The 18820-nt window shown below is 35.9% G+C and overlaps 1 protein-coding gene across 56 annotated transcripts in view; it reads left to right on the top strand.

Annotated features, from left to right (window-relative positions):
• MCTP1 (multiple C2 and transmembrane domain containing 1) overlaps window positions 1–18820 on the top strand; it is a 581405-nt gene that overhangs the window by 387687 nt on the left and 174898 nt on the right. For 55 of the 56 annotated variants that reach the window (XM_047417718.1, NM_001393537.1, XM_047417715.1 and 52 more), the window contains 2 exons: window positions 2573–2759; window positions 8436–8529. The exons of the other annotated variant lie outside the window; for it this stretch is intronic. In XM_047417718.1, coding sequence (XP_047273674.1) covers window positions 2573–2759; window positions 8436–8529 — 281 coding nt within the window. The remainder of the gene's footprint in view (window positions 1–2572; window positions 2760–8435; window positions 8530–18820) is intronic. 56 annotated transcript variants of the gene reach the window in all.

The following is an 18820-nucleotide window of genomic DNA, read 5'->3' as shown; positions in this document are numbered from 1 at the left end:
TCCAGCCTGGGCGATAGTATGAGACTCTGTCTCAAAAAGTCCAGGGCTGGGTGTGGTGGCTTGTTCAGCACTTTAGAATGCCGAGCCAGGTGGATTGCTTGAGCCCAGGAGTTCAAGAGCAGCCTGGGCAACATGACAAAACCCCATCTCTACAAAAAATACAAAAAAAAAAAAAAAATTAGCCAGGCCTGGTGGCACGCACCCGTAGTCCCAGCTACCTGGAGGCTGAAGTGGGAAGAATCACCCAAGCTTGTGAGGTCAATGCTGCAGTGAGCCATGATCATGATCGCACCACTGCACTCCAGCCTAGGCAACAGAGTAAGACCTGGTCTCGAAAAAATTAAAATTTAAAAAAAAGTCCAGATATTACCCACTTTGAGAAGCACTGCTAACAGTGCTTCTTCCTGGGATGCATGGTTACTTAAAGATAGAGTGGTGGAGAAAAGCCTAGATCCTGGATTCCAGAGTCCCAGGTTCAGGTGGGCTCTGCTAATAACTAACTGTATGTCTCCCCTCCATCATGTACCCTCCCTGGCCCTCAGTTTTCTCATTGGTAAATTAAGGAGACTGCAAGAATCACAAATCCTTCTGCCTACTAGAGCAAGGTAGTGTAATTAAGTGAAATAGGCCAGTATGGGGAACAGTAACTAATTCAGAGGACATTTACCCTGTATTTAAAAATATTTATATTCAAAACTTTTTTAGCACAAGCAAAACAACAAATCTGTGAATCAGATTCCATCTGAAAATTGCCAGCTTGCAAAGCCTAATTTATATAATCTTGAGAGCAGTTTCCCCACCTGTAAAGCATTAAATGCAATGACTAATATAAATTAAGAGGAACCAGCATCTATATGATCAGTACAAAGTGGTAATGGGCATAGAAGAAAATCCTTCAGAAGACATCAATGCGTTTTAGTGCTGCAGCATTATATAAAAAAGGAAGGGACCGGGAAATGCATGATCAAAGTGAGTGGGAAAAAAAAGAAAAAAAAAAGTGAGTGAAAGACTTTTCTTGGTTCCAACTGTACCCAACCAAAAATATTGTCTGAATTATAGTCTCTCGTCAATTCTCTAGTATTATACTCCCTATCCAAGCCAGAGTTATTTGCATTCAACAAACTATGGGCCCAGCAGTGTGTCAGGTGCTGGAAAGATCTCTAAAGATAATACCTTTTTTTTCATTAGAGAATATGTTTGAATGGTTGTTTTCCACTGTGAAAATTTTTAACCTCAGTTTGTTCCAGGTATTATTGATAAGAACTTAATTCCAATTAAAATTTAAATATGAGATAAGGGATGTGATATGTTTTTTCACCCTTCAGAGTTTGAGGAGACAGCATGAGAGTACCTTGGAATGCAGTTATTTGACATACATTCTAACTTCAGGAAGATGTTTTCCAGACTTGTACAGACTGTAATCTCTCAATTTCTCAGGAGTTAGCATTTAAGTACACACGGACTTTCTGCTACTGACCAGGGCATTGCTTATTGTTTTCCTTTCTTACATCAATATTCCTCTTCCTCCCATTCGTGTCTAGTCCCAGACATCCCTCATATTAACCAGTAGGCAAAAATAAAAGGCCTATTGAAATATTGGACTTCAGTTCAATATCTGCAATCACTCTTGCTAAAGAGATGTTTGAACTCAACTACAAGCTTTGAAACACTGTCCATAGGAGTTTAGTTTAAAAGCAAAACCATAAATACCAAATAGAGTGAGGAATAAGAAAGAGCAAGAATTTAATCTGTCTCTGACCACGCAGTTTATGGTAGGTTACCACATTTATTCTTATAATTGGCTATTTCCTATTTTAAATGCCTTTCACTCATGCCTGCCACCTTTCTCTCCGTTTATTAGCCTTGTGGTCACCATATTACCTTTCTCTTCAAAATCAACTGACATTTTTATGAAAAGCGTTTTCAGGGTATTAGCTCTGAGAGAGTGGCATACAGAGCAGGCACTGCCACATTAGAAATCCCCTCTTAGCACAACTCAGGTGCCTAACACTTGAGCTATTATGTTTTCAGGAGATTTATATGTTTTTATTTCGGTTTATACAGAGTACTATGAATATATTGGCATGGTTTTAAAAAATGTAAAATGTATGGCATCACAATGGTACATATTCTATTCACTGCTTAATAACATTTACGAATGAGGGGAAAACATCCATTTTTTAAAGGTAACACAAAAATTCAGAATTTTGGTAGTTGGTCTCTCTAGATGGCACACATCATTTTTTCTATAAGCAAAGCCCCAGTGACCTAATTCCTTAGGCCACCTAGAGATAGGAAGTCCTTACCACTTTATGAATACCGTGACAGTGGGTAATAATAGAATTTCAGATTAACATATTTTTTTGTATCTTACAGGAAATAAACAGTTACAGACCCTACGATAATGAGGGTCTGAATTTTGTGAAGAAAGTCAGCTGACTTGAAAGATGTATTCTTCCAATGGTCCAAATAATATTTCTATTGATTTATGTTTCATAGAACTCTGAACAGCTGTTTGATATGGCAAAAAAAAAAAAAAAGCCACTTGCTGATTCAAAACATTTGTCTCTAGGTGCCAGGTCGACCTGTCAGCCCTCAGTAGGGAACAGACGCACAAGCTGGAGTTGCAGCTGGAAGAGGGTGAGGGACACCTGGTGCTGCTGGTCACTCTGACAGCATCAGCCACAGTCAGCATCTCTGACCTGTCTGTCAACTCCCTGGAGGACCAGAAGGAACGAGAGGAGATATTAAAGAGATATGTACGTATGTAACCCTCCTCCTTCCAGAGACACATGTGACTAGATCAGGTTGTAAACAATTTACCTGGAGGGACAGAAGTACTTCTGAGAAGTTGTCTGGTGGAAGAATTGGCACAAGTAAAAAGCTGAGTGAAAACAAATGCCACACAGACCTTTGCCGAAGTATTTGCATTACCCACCCATGTCTAGAGACTTGATCTTCTCTAGATTCTCTTCCAGAGCAAATTCTGGATTCTGAGATTCTACTCAGTGATTTTATCATGCAGGGATGCTACCCATATAGGAAGGCCAGGTTTATACAATGTGACTTTAAAATTAATTTATTGATTCTTTGTAGCTGCAATTAAAATGTCTTTGTCTTTCCAAGTTTGCGATGGAGTTAATGGTACTTACGTTAATTAGTACGCTGGTAACTAAAGAGTATCCACAGGAATGATTTTTATTTTCAGCTGCTCAGGAAAGCCTCACTTCATTCCTTTAATTTTTTTAATTGAATGTGAAATAGAATTAAAGGAAGTCTTCTGCTTTTTGATCGAATGTGGAACGATAGTATGGAATAGTGAATCACTAAAATGACTACCCTCTTCAAATTTTACCTAACTGAAATATTCACAACCAAATCTTACTATTTCCCAGCATCCTCCCGCTGGACATTTCCCACCATGTAGTTTTCTTGAATCAACAGAGAGGGGAGCTCTTACTCCACCATTCTCTCTCAATGAAGGTTTGAAAAAGTAAATGCCTTAGTACCCATGAAGCTGGGAAAAAAGCTTTTCCACTTAAAATGACAAAGCTTGTATTGTACAGTGCCGCCAGGTGTTTAGAAGGCTCCTCTAGACACTCAGCCATGAAACCAAGCTCTAACAAAGAACCACTTTTTTTTTAGACTTTAAAATATTCCTATTTGCTGACTGACATCCTTTCAATAACTGAATTTAATAAAGATGTACCTTATCAGTCTGTGCAGATAACATGAAGTGCTGGTACTAATGCTCTACAATATTCTTCAAACAGATTAGCAGGATGTGCGCTTCAGCAAATTTATTCTGGCTATCTCCACTGAATCAGCTGTCTGCTAATGCTTGTACAACTCATCCACCAATGGTGTTATCATAAACAGTTTAATAGAGGTGACTTAGCAAGGCTAAATAGTATATATTTTTAAACCACCTAAGAGCCTAAGATATTGTGTGACATCTTCTAATATATAATTGCAGTTATGAAGATTATTTTACACTGTGGTATCCACCAAAATATATTCTTCTGTTACCAGAAGTGAGCCTCATGAATTACAACAATTTTAATGGAATTAATCAGTATATTAATATAAAAATTCTTCTAGGCATTATACTATAGTTGATGGATTAATATTTTGATATTATCCCGTATATTAAGGGATACTGCTGCCTAAGTAATTAGAAGTAATCCACCTATTATTAATTTTTTTTCTTTTTGCTGGATGGCTGAATGGCAATTGGCCATTTCCATTCAGAATTTGAATATTTGTTTCCATGTCTTTTTTCAATAAAATGTAAAATATTATGCGGATGTTTGACTTAATTCTCAGATTGTATTCTGCTCAATATATTCAAAAATGAACTATGTTTAAATATACTTTTTTTCAGCCTTGAATTTCAGGCAGAGGCCTATACCTCCCTCTAGAGACATACCTGCTACGAAACCACTATATGCAACATAGCACATCTGTTATATTTACTCATATCCATAAAAGGACAAAGACCTATGGATTAGGATTTCAGTGTGTTTCCCTTTTATTATAAGGATCATGAAATGAATGAATGAATGCCATATCATTTCTGAAATATCATTTGTTTTGGAGAAACATATAATGGAGGTTGTTTGGAGAATTATTTCTATATTTTCCTGCAAGAACATGTGTATTTTTAAAAGTTGAGGTCAAATTTAGGAATTTGACATTGGTCACTGTCAGGGAAGCAAATAAATTGCCCCCACTCTGATATGAAACAGCCCTAAAAAAAGCCCTCCATTGCTGTTGTTTAGCTGTTCATTGCTAAGGATTGAAGCCCCACAAATTAAACAAACATCGCTCTGTGAGCCATTTTTTGATCACCACATTCTGAGAAGATGGCTAATTCCATTTTTCTTTTTTCCTCTTTTAGGGGGAGGAAATGAGGGAAGGTCAATAGGGGGCGGGTAGTAATGGGTAGTAGACCAAGAGCAATTGTATGACCTTTTCAGAACGGGTATGCTGAACCCTTGCTCCCCCTTGTCACAGTTTAAAAACCAGAGGAGCTAGTTTAGAGAAGAAGTTGTTAGCATTCCATTTTTATTATGACATTTCACAGTCATCTGATTTAATGTCCCTTGACCGGATTGTCCACCGTGAGACGATGGGCTTGAAATGTTATTTAGAGCATTGATAAAAGGTGAGCGGTTCTAAGATGACAGCGAGTCATAAGGCTGGTGGTGTGACATTAATTTTCTCCATAACAGAGATGGAATAAGACGTCACGGTGACAAGCTGTCAATCAGCTCTGGCCCCTCAGAGCATCTCGATGCCATAGGATGGGGTATTGCCTCTCCCGTAATAGAGCTGAACTGAGATGCTCTCCCTGACAGCTGCTGCAGCCATAGAGAAAATATATTATACAGCCTTTCATTAAAAAAATAAAGAGGACTCCTCTCCAGAGCATTTCAATCTTTTCCCATCTATTGAGGGCTGAAAGGATTCACAGCAAATCATAGATTCCTCTGCTATGGAAATTTCTGGCTTCAGAAGCCATCCGGGTTTTTAGGCCTTCTAAAATAACCGTAAATAGCAAGGCAGGAATACCTCTTGATGAATACCTCTTGATGAAGTTATGTTTTTAAACCAATATATTTATTTATTTATTTATTTATTTATTTATTTATTTATTTTTACTTCTTATTATAATCGATGTGTCACTGGCCTAAACCGTTGAAATTTGCAATAAATTATGGAGTGTCAGCTGACTTGGGGAAATGAAACCTTCAAACAATAATTACCACTCCAAATGGGAAGCAGAGGATCAGAGCCGAAGCACCTGAAGACAATATGTCTGTGGAATGAGGCTACCAATGTGAAAGGATTCTCAGACATAAGGACTGATTATATTCGTCTTAGTCAAAATAGAACTTGATTTAAATTGCCTCTGAAAATTAAAGCACGGAAACCTTTTTTTGATAAAACTATTCCCCATCATTAGGGTCGAAGACTTACCTGATTTACAACATTGTGTAAGCTCTGAGATAAGAAACTTTCCAAACTTGCTGTTACTGTAGGAACACAACGTGCCCACAAACCTCTGAATTATATTCTGTTGTCTAACGCCCCCACAGTGAAACCCTTCATTTACAGGAATTTAAATGGAGAGAGAAGTGCATTTTTACTGAACCTTGTCACCTGGGTATTTTAAATAGATTTTTGGTGATAAACAACTGTTTAAAAACAATAAAAGATTAACAGTTAATCCTCATGCTAAACACTCTTATAAAAAGTTAGGCTATGAGATTACTCATGTATCCGCATTTCCTCCTCTCAATATACGAAGGTCATAGTTTCAGTGTAAACAATTACTGGTCATACGGGACTGATAAAGTTCATATTGCAGTAAGCTTTTGCTTGTCAGTATTCTCACATTATTAATATGATGATGGGAATGCTTTTTACTCTAGTAACATTTTAATAACTTTATAATGCAAAAGTATGTTACGTTCTCTGGTTATGAAACATTTTATAAATTATGAAAAAGAAGTACCTTTGATTTACAGAGTAGAAGTGCTGATCGTGTCATAAGAAAAATGCTATGAAGTGTAAATAAACAAATGCATATTAGCATTCTGTTGGTTCATTTTACTCTCAAAGTATTTGTGCCCATTAATTAGACTTCTGAATTATTGTATTGGTTTCCCTCTTTTAATTCCTTCAAGTGCTACACTTATAAAACACCACCATTATTAATTTATGAAGTGAAATAGATTTTATCATTTGGATCTGTTTTTTCTATTGAAGTTTCAATACTTCTGTGCATACTAAAATAGCAAATAAAACTGTAAATTTAAGAAAAATTTCCACTTTTGAATTTATTTTTAGTCATCAATTTGATTGACTGTAAAAGATTGTGTATGTCTTTTACTTATGTAGAACTACAGTAGTCTTTTGAAATAAATACTAGAAAATAGTCTTTAGGTAATTTAATCCTCATCTAACCCATGCAATTTCCAAAACTCACCAAGAGGAAAATAGTAGAAAAAAATAATTAGTTTAATGTTGATCTTCTTATCCCCAAAGTCTGAAGAGTGTTATATATCCAACAATGTGAGATTTAATATTGATAATTAGGCTGAAAGTGGTGGTTCATGCCTGTAATCCCAACACTTTGGGAGCCAAGGCTGGAGGATCACTTGAGGCCAGGAATCAGAGACTATCCTGGGTAACATAACAGGACATTTTTCTACAGAATTTTAATTTTTTTTTAAGTTAACCAAGTATGGTTGCACATGCCGGTAGTTCTAGCCACTCAGGAGGCTGAGGTGGAAGGAATGCTTGAGCCCAGGATTTGGAAGTTACAGTAAGCTATTATCATGCTACTGCACTCCAACCTGAGTTAGACCCTGTCTCTAAAAAAATAAAAATAAAAATAAATTTTAAAAAAGCCACTAATCTCCAAACCATTATATCTACAGATGAAAATTTTTCTTGGAGTGGTTTGCTGGCTAGAGGAGATTGAAAAAGGAAGCAGACATATCTATTCCATAATTTATTGTTCAACATTTATTGATAATTATTTATGGGATTAAATGTGTTTTTTTTATTCTTTCAGAAAATCTACTTATATAGCAACAATTATCCACATAGAGGGGTGTGTGTGTGTGTGTGTGTGTGTGTGTGTGTGGTGTACATTCATGAGGGTGGAAGGGTAATTTATACTGAAGAAACACAAATGACCCTTTGAACCCCTTATGCAGCATCAACGTTTCCATTCTATACATACTAAAATGGCAAATAAAACTATAAATTTAAGAAAAATTACTCACTATTTTGAATTTATTTTTTTGAGTTGGAGTCTTGCCCTGTCACCCAGGCTGGAGTGCAGTGGCGCGATCTTGGCTCACTGCAACCTCTGCCTCCCGGGTTCAAGCAATTCTCTGCTTCAGCCTCCAGAGTAGCTGGGATTACAGGTGCCCGCCACCACGCCTGGCTAATTTTTTTTGTATTTTTGGTAGAGATGGGGTTTCATCATCTTGGCCAAGCTGGTCTTGAACTCCTGACCTTGTGATCCACCCACCTCAGCTTCCCAAAGTGCTGGGATTACAGGTGTAAGCCACTGCTCCCGGCCTGAATTTATTTTTAGTCATCAATTTGATTTATTTTAAAAGATACTGTATGTATTTTGCTTATGTAAAACTACTTAAGTTCTTATGTAGAATTGCATAAGTCTTTTGAAATAAATACGAGAAAACAATGTTTAGGTAATTTAATCCTCAGCTAGCACATGCAATTTCCAAAACTCACCAAGAGGAAAACAGTAAAAAAAAAAATTAGTTAGTTTAATGTTGATCTTCTTACCCCCAGAGTCTGAAGATAAACTAAAAAATGTAATGTTTTCTCAGCACACTCTTTAAGACTCCTTGGGACCTCCCTTTTCTAATACTGATGTTGGGGTCTTTCAGAGCCCATTGAGGATATTTCACAACCTGAAAGATGTGGGATTTCTCCAGGTGAAAGTCATCAGAGCGGAAGGGTTAATGGCTGCCGACGTCACTGGTAAGAGATGATGCAATTCTCCTATTGCTCAGATCAAGCAGCACACAAGGTCTACACCATTTAATAATTCAACTTTGCATTTCACCTGATGGATCATCAAAATAAATAATTTAAAGATTCAGGGATGATCTTAGAAATATTTGCCAACCCCCTGATTTTTATAGTATCTCTGCTTTTTAAAGGCAGGGTAATGTATTAAAAATAAACACTAAAAAACAAAATGACTTTTGAATTGTTGCCTTCTTCGAAGTTTAATCAATGTAGTAGGAATACGTCTTCCAGATATTGTTATTTCCAGGTATTGAACCAATGCTTTACAGAATCAGCTTCCCTCATAGCATCAACACTTATAATTCAAACATGCATGAAATCTGTTGCACATTTTGCTGAAAATTTTAGGTGCATAATACTCAATAACTTGGTATCAACTCTTGATATTTGGGTTGCTGATCCAACTCATTAGTCACCCAAATTCCCTGGCACATCCCAGAGATAATTTTGGATCTAAACTAAGTCTCTAGATTGTTTGAAATTTCTTAAAGTAGGAAACAAGGCTGTACAAATGTCCACATTAGTTTTGTCTCTTAAAGCTTCCTGATTTGCATAATACTATTTCTGTAACATATTAACAAACAGGCTGATGGCAATTATTCCATCAATTTCCAGAATTAAATCATTATTTTGAATTTATAACAATGTGACCATTCATTTATGATTTAATTTCATAAGGATTTGGGGGATGCTTATACTGTTCCTTAAATTATCCATCTCAAGTTAGACAATAAATAGGACTGGCTTGACCATTTGTGCAAATTTCACTGTTTCTGAAAGAAAATATCAACTTATCATTCTGGAAATATGCTTACCATTTTGAACATTCAGCCAGATAATCCTAATGAGGTAACAAACTTATTTCAAGGGAAGAAATGTGCTTTTTCTACCATCCAAGGACCTGAAATCACTGTGCACTTCTTTAATTCATTCAACAGAATCAAAAGCAAATTAAAAGGTAACATGCCTTCAAATGAAAAATAGCAGATGTTTGTTCCAAAACTGCAATATTTTTATATTTTAATATTTGCCTATTAAGTGACCATGTGTGAGAAAATTTAAAATATTAGTTTACAGTTCCTTTAAAAAGGTAATTATCAACTCATTTGTAACCAAGAAGATGATAACAGTTGTCACATATTTTTTCAAAACAGGAATACCTGAAAATGGGAGAGTGGGTAGTTTGTAATATTTGCATATATGCTAATTTGGCTCCTTGTATAAAACAATTAATGTAAAATGTATATACATGTTCCTACTTATGAAATTTCTTTCTAGTATGATTATAATCAAATTAATCTGGCACAATCATTTCTTTTAGAAAAATGCAAGTACCATTTATTTCAAAAGCTTAGATACCTGCCCATTATATAATTGGATAGAATTGTATAAGTTTGTCTTCTTTGGAGAGAAGCTGTCATTGATTTTCAAACTTCATGAATATGCAAACTAGATTAACCCAGTTGGCCTGTGTGCCACTATGGAAGTTAAAATACATGTTCTCTCAAAGCTGGAAAAAAATAGAGATATTTCTCTCCTAATGGTTCTATGTAAATTGATGTGAATAACAATAGCCTTTTCCCTGGGGATTCAATGAGACATAATTTTCATTTGATAAAATGAACATTAATTTGGGGAATACTAAATAACAGAGTCTCCATTTTTTTCCTCCACTTTTAGAGATATAAATCTAATGATTCCCCATTTCACGCTGACCTTATAATCTAATGTGCTCTGAATTGAACAAGAGAGATGTTGAACTATTCAGGGGCAAAAAGATAATTCAGTCTTTGACCTTGCTCACTCTTGGACCTTCTGTGGTCTTTATGACATTTGTGATGGTGGCAAAAATTGAAAGACTATATATTTGAGTCAGAAATGTCTGAATATACTACCAATTTTAAAAATAATTTTTACTTTTGAAAAGGATACTTTATATATACACACACACACACGCACACATGTATCCTGATGCTTCCTTGTCTTTGTCATTAAATTTGGGACACAAGTAAGTTCTTTGTCTGCTTTCTCTTTTACTTGTTCAAAGAACTTTAAAGATATGATGTGCGTCTCAGTGGATAATAACAGTCAGCCTCTACAAGTTATTAGGCAATAGTTTGAAAAGAGGCAATTGACTAGCGCTGTCTTCAAATCCTCAACTTAGCGTCCATTTAGGAATTTTGTCGATGTAGAGGGGAGTTTTTAAATCACTGGTAACTGTCTGTGCTAAGGCAAGAATATTTTCTAACATGGTACAAATGAGCCTGTTACTGTAAGATACACGGTTGATTTCAGAACACTTTTTCTAAATAAGTCTAACGAGACAAATCTATATTTGAACAACTTGGCTCTGTTTTTTTGATATTTTTAATGATCTGAACATAAAGTTAAACTCCCATTGTTTCAGCAAAAAATGTTAAATTATAATATTCCATCATTAGACATGAGCACAGGAAAGAAAGATTCTATAGTCTTTTAAGTAGCCATCAATCTTACTACAGTTACAAAGAATTTTTCCCTTTCAAAATGTAAAATTTTTCTTTTGTTACAACACATTCATTGAGAAACATTGTGATACTGTATTAACTCTGTGTGAATAAAGAGCAATTGAGACTCTCTTTGAATGAGTGAGTATAAAGCACAAATTACTTTTTAATGAAACCCTCAATTCTTTCCCTTTCCACAAAAAGCCTATAGCCTTGTTCAGCTGAACACTACTACAGTAGGTCACTTCAGTTAAGCCCCTAATAAACTGTTGATAGTCGAGGGTAGTTTTTTCTTCGGTCTCAATAGCCCAGTGTTGGACAGTGCACTTCAAATCATTAAGGTTAATACAGATTTAAAAAAGAGATTAACTCTGGTGGTTAAGGCCTCAATTTACAACTCCCACACATACACATGCATTGAGCAAGGCACAAGAGTGGATTGAAATTTCAGTCAAATTGTGGGCAGCTTTTCACAGCCTGAGAAAGTGGCACTCTGGTTTGAAAAGTTGGTCAGCTAAATTCTTCGTAAGGGAAAAAATTTGAGTCACTGAAAAATACCTCTCAGTACAACTTACTTACCTTTCAACTAACCAGTGAAAAGGTTAATGTCTCTCCACACCATCAAAGCAAGACCTAGAGACTGTCTGGCCCCGCGTTCACTGGGGAACATTCTCTCTGCAGCTAGATCAAGTTTTCCTTAAAACTCTACACGTTGTGAGGAAAGGCCAGCGGGGTGGGGTGGGGTGGGTGGCGGGAAAATATTTTTTCTTTGGGTGGTAGGAAATAGTTCATATTATCATATGTCTTTTTTAGCTTATGATTATTCTTTCCCTTGAGCAGGGCCTAATTTTTGCCTCAACAGAACATTCCAAGTCTCCTATATTGAGTGAGGCTTTCTTTGCAGAGTATTTAGACCTGGCCTATTGGTTCTTTCAAGTTCTAAGAGGAGAAGGAGAAAAGAGTTCTTCTCCTCCGCCCCTCCCCTTCATTTCATTTTCCCCTGGGTTCTCTCTCTCTTTCTCTCTGTTTTTTTTTTTTTTCTGAGCTCCTAAGGAAGAGGTCATAGCTTCCCCAGGGAGACCAGCCACTCAGTTTCAGAAACAGCGACATGGGAGAACTGTGAAACCCTTCAAAAGATGTCCTACCTTTTCACTGTACTGAAAGGTACACTAATATAAAACTTCTCCACCCCAGGTGAATTGATCTCTCAAATTAATGCACCATCTCCTTCAGGAAACAATAGAGGGAGAGGAAGAGAAAAAGGGGGAGAGAGAGAGAATTTTACAATTAATAGAATGTGTCACTGAAATAGTCCCATTAAATAAGTGTATCTTTTTCTAAAACAAGGCTATGCATAAAGACTTGTGACTTGCCAGCCCCGTAGTCTGGAAACCTACTAGTTATTAAGAGAGATGTTTACTACCCCTTTATTTGCATAGACTTTTCCCATGTTTTTCTTTTGGAAAACTGTCTTCATTGTTGGAAAATATTTAAGTAACAAAACAGCAGAAAAAGACATGCTACAGTTTTTTTATCAGCTTCCGTGAGAGTCTTATTATCTTAAGAAATAACAGTTAGCAGCTCAGATTCATTAGCAGAGCTAAATTTAAGCCCCATTTGACAGGCTGCCTAGAAAACATTTTGTTTTGCTGTCTGTGGGCTTTAATTAAGATGTGTTCAATTTCAGTCCTCTTCAGTCTAGCTCCCGCCCCCCCAGCCCCCACCCCCAACTTGCTGTGTCACAGACCGGCGATCAGACACTTTTAGATGGTCCGGCCCATGACTTTGACCTTCTGCGCAGTCCGGCGTTCCCTGGGGAACCGTTCAACTCATGAGGTCTGATTTCACACTTCCAGGATGCCTCAGCTCTCTTAACAATGACAGGGAGACAAAGCCCTTTAGAGCAGGCCGCATGGGGACTTGTTTAAATTGGAAACCAGAGAGGAGTCAAGGAACAAGGTTATGGGCTACAGAATAGTGCTTTTAATAAAGAGCTCACAGCTCTGGCTCAGCTCAAAGAGGTCTACCTCTGTACAATTAATTGAGCCATTTATCTGGAGCATCTTAGGCCTCTACTTTCTCACAGAATTGCGTGGTAAATATCAGCTAAGAAGCAAATGAGATATGCATGAAATGAATTTTAACACTTTGATTACTGTGCCTCCAGTCTTCATTAAAAGTAAATTTATTTGTATTTCTGACCTCATTATCAGGAGGCTGCCTGCATTTTTATTGGTTCCTGTGATTTCCAGCTTGAGTGTGTCATGAAGGTATATTTTATACAAAGATTTGGATTTATTATTCTTGATATTTTCCCTGAACATTATGGGTCTATTCAGAGAAAGAAAATGAAAAGGCAGCTGTACAGAAAAAGGCAAGTCTGATCTTTGAAAGTTTTATATACAGTTGGAGAAATACCAAGCACATATACATGACATAGACAAGATATTGTCCTTTTAAAAAAATTAACTTTTGGTGGGTTACGCTAGCAAATAGCTTAAGACATATGCAGTTGTTACTTCAAGTGCCCTGTAGAAAACAATTGCTCAATTGGAAGAAGTTGCTAAGTTGCTTTTTAAAATAGGATTGTAGCAGTTTGAATTAATAGCATGTGCCTTTAATTGTCATCATCATATTTAATAAAATCAACGATGTCTGATAAATGCAGCCTTAGATATTACCATCATTCTTTAAAATTTATGTTGGAAGAAGATAAAATATAAATCCTTTAAGTTCTACGTAATTTCATTCAAAGAACTGTATAAAATGTAGTGGAAGTCCTTCATCTTGGTATATTATCAGGGATAAAATAATCTACCAAATAAAAGAGAGGATGTGCAAATAGTCATAGTTTCTTAACTTTACTATCTTAACATCTGAAAATTATATTGCTTGAAACAAAAATCCTAAGCTTTAACACAGAATATATAGGACATTCCTCAAGGAAAGTATGCTTTATTCCCATTATATAAGCTAATGTTCCATTTGCTTTTTAATAATTATGCTCATAGAAGACTTTTAAGCAGATAGTGTACCATGAGAAGACATTTTATCCAATTTATAATGCATCAGAAATATACAACACCTGCTGTTCTTATCACGGTAATATACCTGGTTTAGAAAACAATATTATATACATGTACATGATAAATGTATTAATACTATATAAATCTTTTCCTTAAGAATGAGCCTAAACAAATAAAAATATCACAGGGAAAGAAAGCAAATCATTGTTCTTCCTTCTTTTATGTCACCACATCTTACATACAAATAAAACTTACTTTCTTTAGTAATTGCATTTTTAAAACCTAGCCAAATTCTAATTATAGGAAAAGTGTTCTTCTAAAACCAAAGAGTTGTTATCAAATATCTCCAAAAAGAGGAATGAAAATGATAATTTAGCACAAGGGCTGATGAGGCCTGAATCTGAGACAGTGTTTTAAAGAGAATTACAGAAATCATGTGTGATTCATATGCAGGTCACATGGTTAGAAGATACTGCCCTGGAAGAATAGGTGGGATGACAAAAGAGATTAATAATTGGGTTTGATATGCACTAGAGGTGAAGGACTATGGGCTGAGAAAGTGGTGGTCCCACTATCAATGGGAAATGAGGGAAAGAGAAATACTATAAAATAATTAATCAGGTTCTGTAGAACAAAGATTACAAAATGATCCTTTGAGTAAAGAAATAGCAAATTGCTGATTTGGCTCAGAGGGCTAGCTCTAGGATTTCACTCAGTGCTTGAAGAAATACCTTCATGATGCTAGAATCATTGTTTAAAATTAAACTTAAAAAATATTTTGTTACATTGCAACATAATTGTGCAAATAAGTGATGTATTTTCTAGAACAACGGATCAAGGAAATGCTACAAATAGAGAGGATCTAGATTTAACTAGATTTTTTGAAAAAAAAAAACTTACTACAGAGATACTTGGGTTAAACGATAGTATAGTTGGACTCGTGAATGACTAAATAGTCAAGCCTAAAGAGTAATTATTAAAGGATTGATGTCACTGGGGATGCCAAGTGGGTTACAGGGCTCTGTCCTTGGTCTAAGCTGTTCAATGTGTTTACTAATTACTTTGAGGAGGTAATTGACTGCTTCCTTATCAAAGTTGCTAGGAGGGCTACTTAATTCATTTTATGTGAGACCAGTATATGTATACAATCCTATACTACAGACAAATAATAGGCTTAATTCAACAAGATGAACATTAAAAAGTATAAATCCAAAGTCTTTCCTGGGTACTAAACTGTGATATCTTGCTTTAACCATAGAGAATAAAGAAAAGACTTTAGGATTTGAGTTGAGTTTAAACTCCATGAGAGTAAATTATACATACATCAGTTCTGTTACATTGAATAAAGGTGAAATGTTGAGAGTGGACTCATCAAATATGCTGGGGTATGAATCCAGTTTGTGAATACTCTTTAAAGAAGGACATTGACTAACCAGAATATATTTTCAACTGGTATATCTGGCGTTTTAAAATCACGTCAATTGAGAATAGTGCTGGAATGACAATAATAACAATAATAATGACAACTAACATTTACTGAGCCCTGATCACATGTCAGCCACTAACCTGAGCTTGGTGCAAGAATTATCATATATGACTAATCTCACAACAACCTTATTAGGGACTATTGTTATTCCCACTTTATAATTTGGAAAACTGAAGAGGCATGGAGAAGTTAGGTAACTCTTCCACGATCAACACACACACACACACCAGCTTGTAAATGGCAGGGCAGGCATGCTGATCTAGATCTTTCCACAAAAGCCACCGACATATTTGTACTGGAGAAAAGAAGAACTTGAGAACATATGATTTCTTTTATCAATTATCCAAAGGCTTGTCATGAGGAGAATGTAGATAAGAGCTAGCAAGGAGGGTTAATGGCCAAGGTTTAGGTCCAAAGAGCAAACTTCCTTCTAGAAAATTTAATCAGAAGGGGATTTATAATAAAATATTAACTAAATCACAGAATCTTTGGGGGGCAGGAAGGGCCTAAGAAAAGAGACTCTAAGTTCAGTCTCTGGAGGTTAGTACTAAAGCCACATGGCAGAACCAAGGAGTTGTTGACATTAACGAGTTGAGAAGACACTGTGACAACTGATACATGACCCCTGCTTGCAGTCTGCAGCAGTAAAATTAACTCCACGTGCTCTCACTTAATTGAATTCTAATATCAAGTCTTAGGCAAGAACATCTGATTCATGCAACCTAAATCACATCTACATCTCTAGCTGCAAGAGAATCTAGAAATGTCACTTTAGGCTTAATATCCTCTATAGATCAGGAAGAGACACTAGCAAATAGTTGGAATGGATGCTCAGCAAGCCATCCACAGTGTCCAGCAGAGGACAGCAGATAATGAACATTGATCACATATTCCCTATGTGATAGATGCTGTACCCTCCCTTCATGCCTATCATTTCATTAAGATTTTCTAATTACTACAGAAGGCAAATTATAGAATAGATAAAAAGCTACAGAGACATAATTTTATACATGACGTGAAGAAACATTTTCCACAAATTACATTTGCCAACAAAAAATAGATCCAAAGATTCTTGTAGAAGTAATGATTTCCACATTACTAAAACTTTCGAAGCAGAGCCTGAAGGACCACCTGGTTGCAGAGATGATGCAAGCCCTGGATGAAGTTTTGAACTTGACCTCTAAGATTTATTTCCAAGCCTTCAGATTCTAAGATACTGTAGCAGTTACCAAGATAAATAACAGATTCCTGGATGAGATATTTTGTAAAAGAGGAATAAAGAGACAAAGACGTTATTCTAAAGGCAAAGACTTAACAGATGACAATTTTCAGTTATTGCCTTTAATTGGTTTTTAAAAATGTATTTAAAATGTTTAATCACCTAATAGAGGACTTAATTTTTTTAAGCATAAAAAAGTTATTTCACTGCAAAAGGTCTCTCCAGCTAATTAGTTTACTTATAGGAAAGCTTATCTGAAGCCTCATGCTTTTCTGCAGGAAGGTCTAATTGAGTATATATTTACTATAAGTCCTAAAGTATCTAACAAGCCTTGCAAAAACAAAGGAACTTCTAATGTATTTTTATTCTCATTTTAGACCAAACAACTTTTGTGTTTCTAAGCTTGTAACGAATCACTTGCATATAGTTTCTATATTAAATATGAATTGAAAATGAAGTATTTAAATGTTCTTACCATAATTTATCTAAGCTGTTAAAAGCTTAGGCATAATTTTCTCACGGCCTCTTCTCATTTTATAGGTCCCATAGTCTCCTTCCTCTTTCTTTTCCAGTTTCTCATCTGTCTCCTTTCCCTTCTTATTCTTCTGTCATAAATTTTGAGCTTCCCAACATATATCAATATGGTTCAATTCCAAGACTCAAGAATGCATCTAGTTACACACAATTCTGTAAATATTCTTTTGCAGATAGTTCTATATCCCAGGGGAAATAAATTCATATTTACATTGAGCTTTACCTATTTCCATTAGCTTTGGGTCTCAGGGTGTGGTTCAGGAACCTCTGGGGATCCCCAAGACCCGTTCAGGGATCTCTGAAGCCAAAACTATCTTCATAATAATACTAATATATTATTTGCCTTTTTTATTCTTATTCTTTCATGAGTGTACAATGGAGTTTTCCAAGGGCTACATAATCTTTGATTACTCCAATGTTAACAGGTCATGGATTTATTATTTCTAGTGAATTAATAAATATTTTTAATGTTTTCATTTCTAACATGGGTACATTTTGATAGATATAGCCCACATAAAAACTGTTTGAGATCCTCAATAATTTTTAAGAGTTCCTAAGATCAAAATGTTTAAGAATTATTGCTGTTAGACAATGATTATCAATTAGGAGGAGGGTAGTATTGCCCCAGTGGGTGTTTGGAGATTTTTGAGGGAATTTTAGTTGCCATAATGACTGGGGAGCATACTGGTGTTTGGTAGCTGGGGTTGGGGATGCTAAATGTCCTGCATAATGAAAATTTACATAATGAAAATTTAATCCTGCATTTAAATATAGCTATTGATTTACGTTTAAAATCTGTTTCATGATTGTCTAAGCCTAGATTGCATCCTGAAATACATACTATTATTGATTCAAGCCTTGCAAATGGCTGCCATTTCACACAGTATACACCAAAGACCTTAAGATGGTGTCCAAGGCACTTAATTACCTTATTCCCCATTACTTCTCTGACATCTTCTACTAACCTTCCCATTGCACACCCTGCCCCAGTATCAGAGGCCTCAAGCACAGCAGGCTTTTGGTCTAGCTCTTTCTCTACCTGGATCACTTTTCTCCAGAAGTGTTTCTCTACTTTTCTCCACTTTTCTACTTGGCTACTCCTTTACCCCCTTCAGTTCTTTGCTCAGACCTCACCTTCTCAATGAGGCCCATTCTGACCACCCCAATTAAATCTATAAGCAGTGCCCCTCCTCTACCCTCTCCAAACCCCTTTTCTTACTCTATTTTTACCTGTTTTTTTTAATTAACACGTAGCACTCTCTAACATACAATATATCTAGTAACCATGTTCGGTATTTATTCTCTTTCTCCTCCATTCCCACTATAAGTAAATTTGAAGACAGCAGACACATTTCCCTTTTCTGTTCATATGGCCTGGCACATAATAAGCACTCAATAAATATTTGTTGAATAAGTCAATGTATGATTTTATTGTAAACAACTTTCTATTTAGTCCTCCTTTATAATACAGTTCTGGTATTATATTAAA

The sequence above is a fragment of the Homo sapiens genome, chromosome 5 (assembly GCF_000001405.40).
Source record: "Homo sapiens chromosome 5, GRCh38.p14 Primary Assembly".
NCBI lineage: Eukaryota > Metazoa > Chordata > Mammalia > Primates > Hominidae > Homo > Homo sapiens.
Note: the sequence above shows the minus strand (reverse complement) of the source record. Positions and strands in the feature narration are given on the sequence as shown.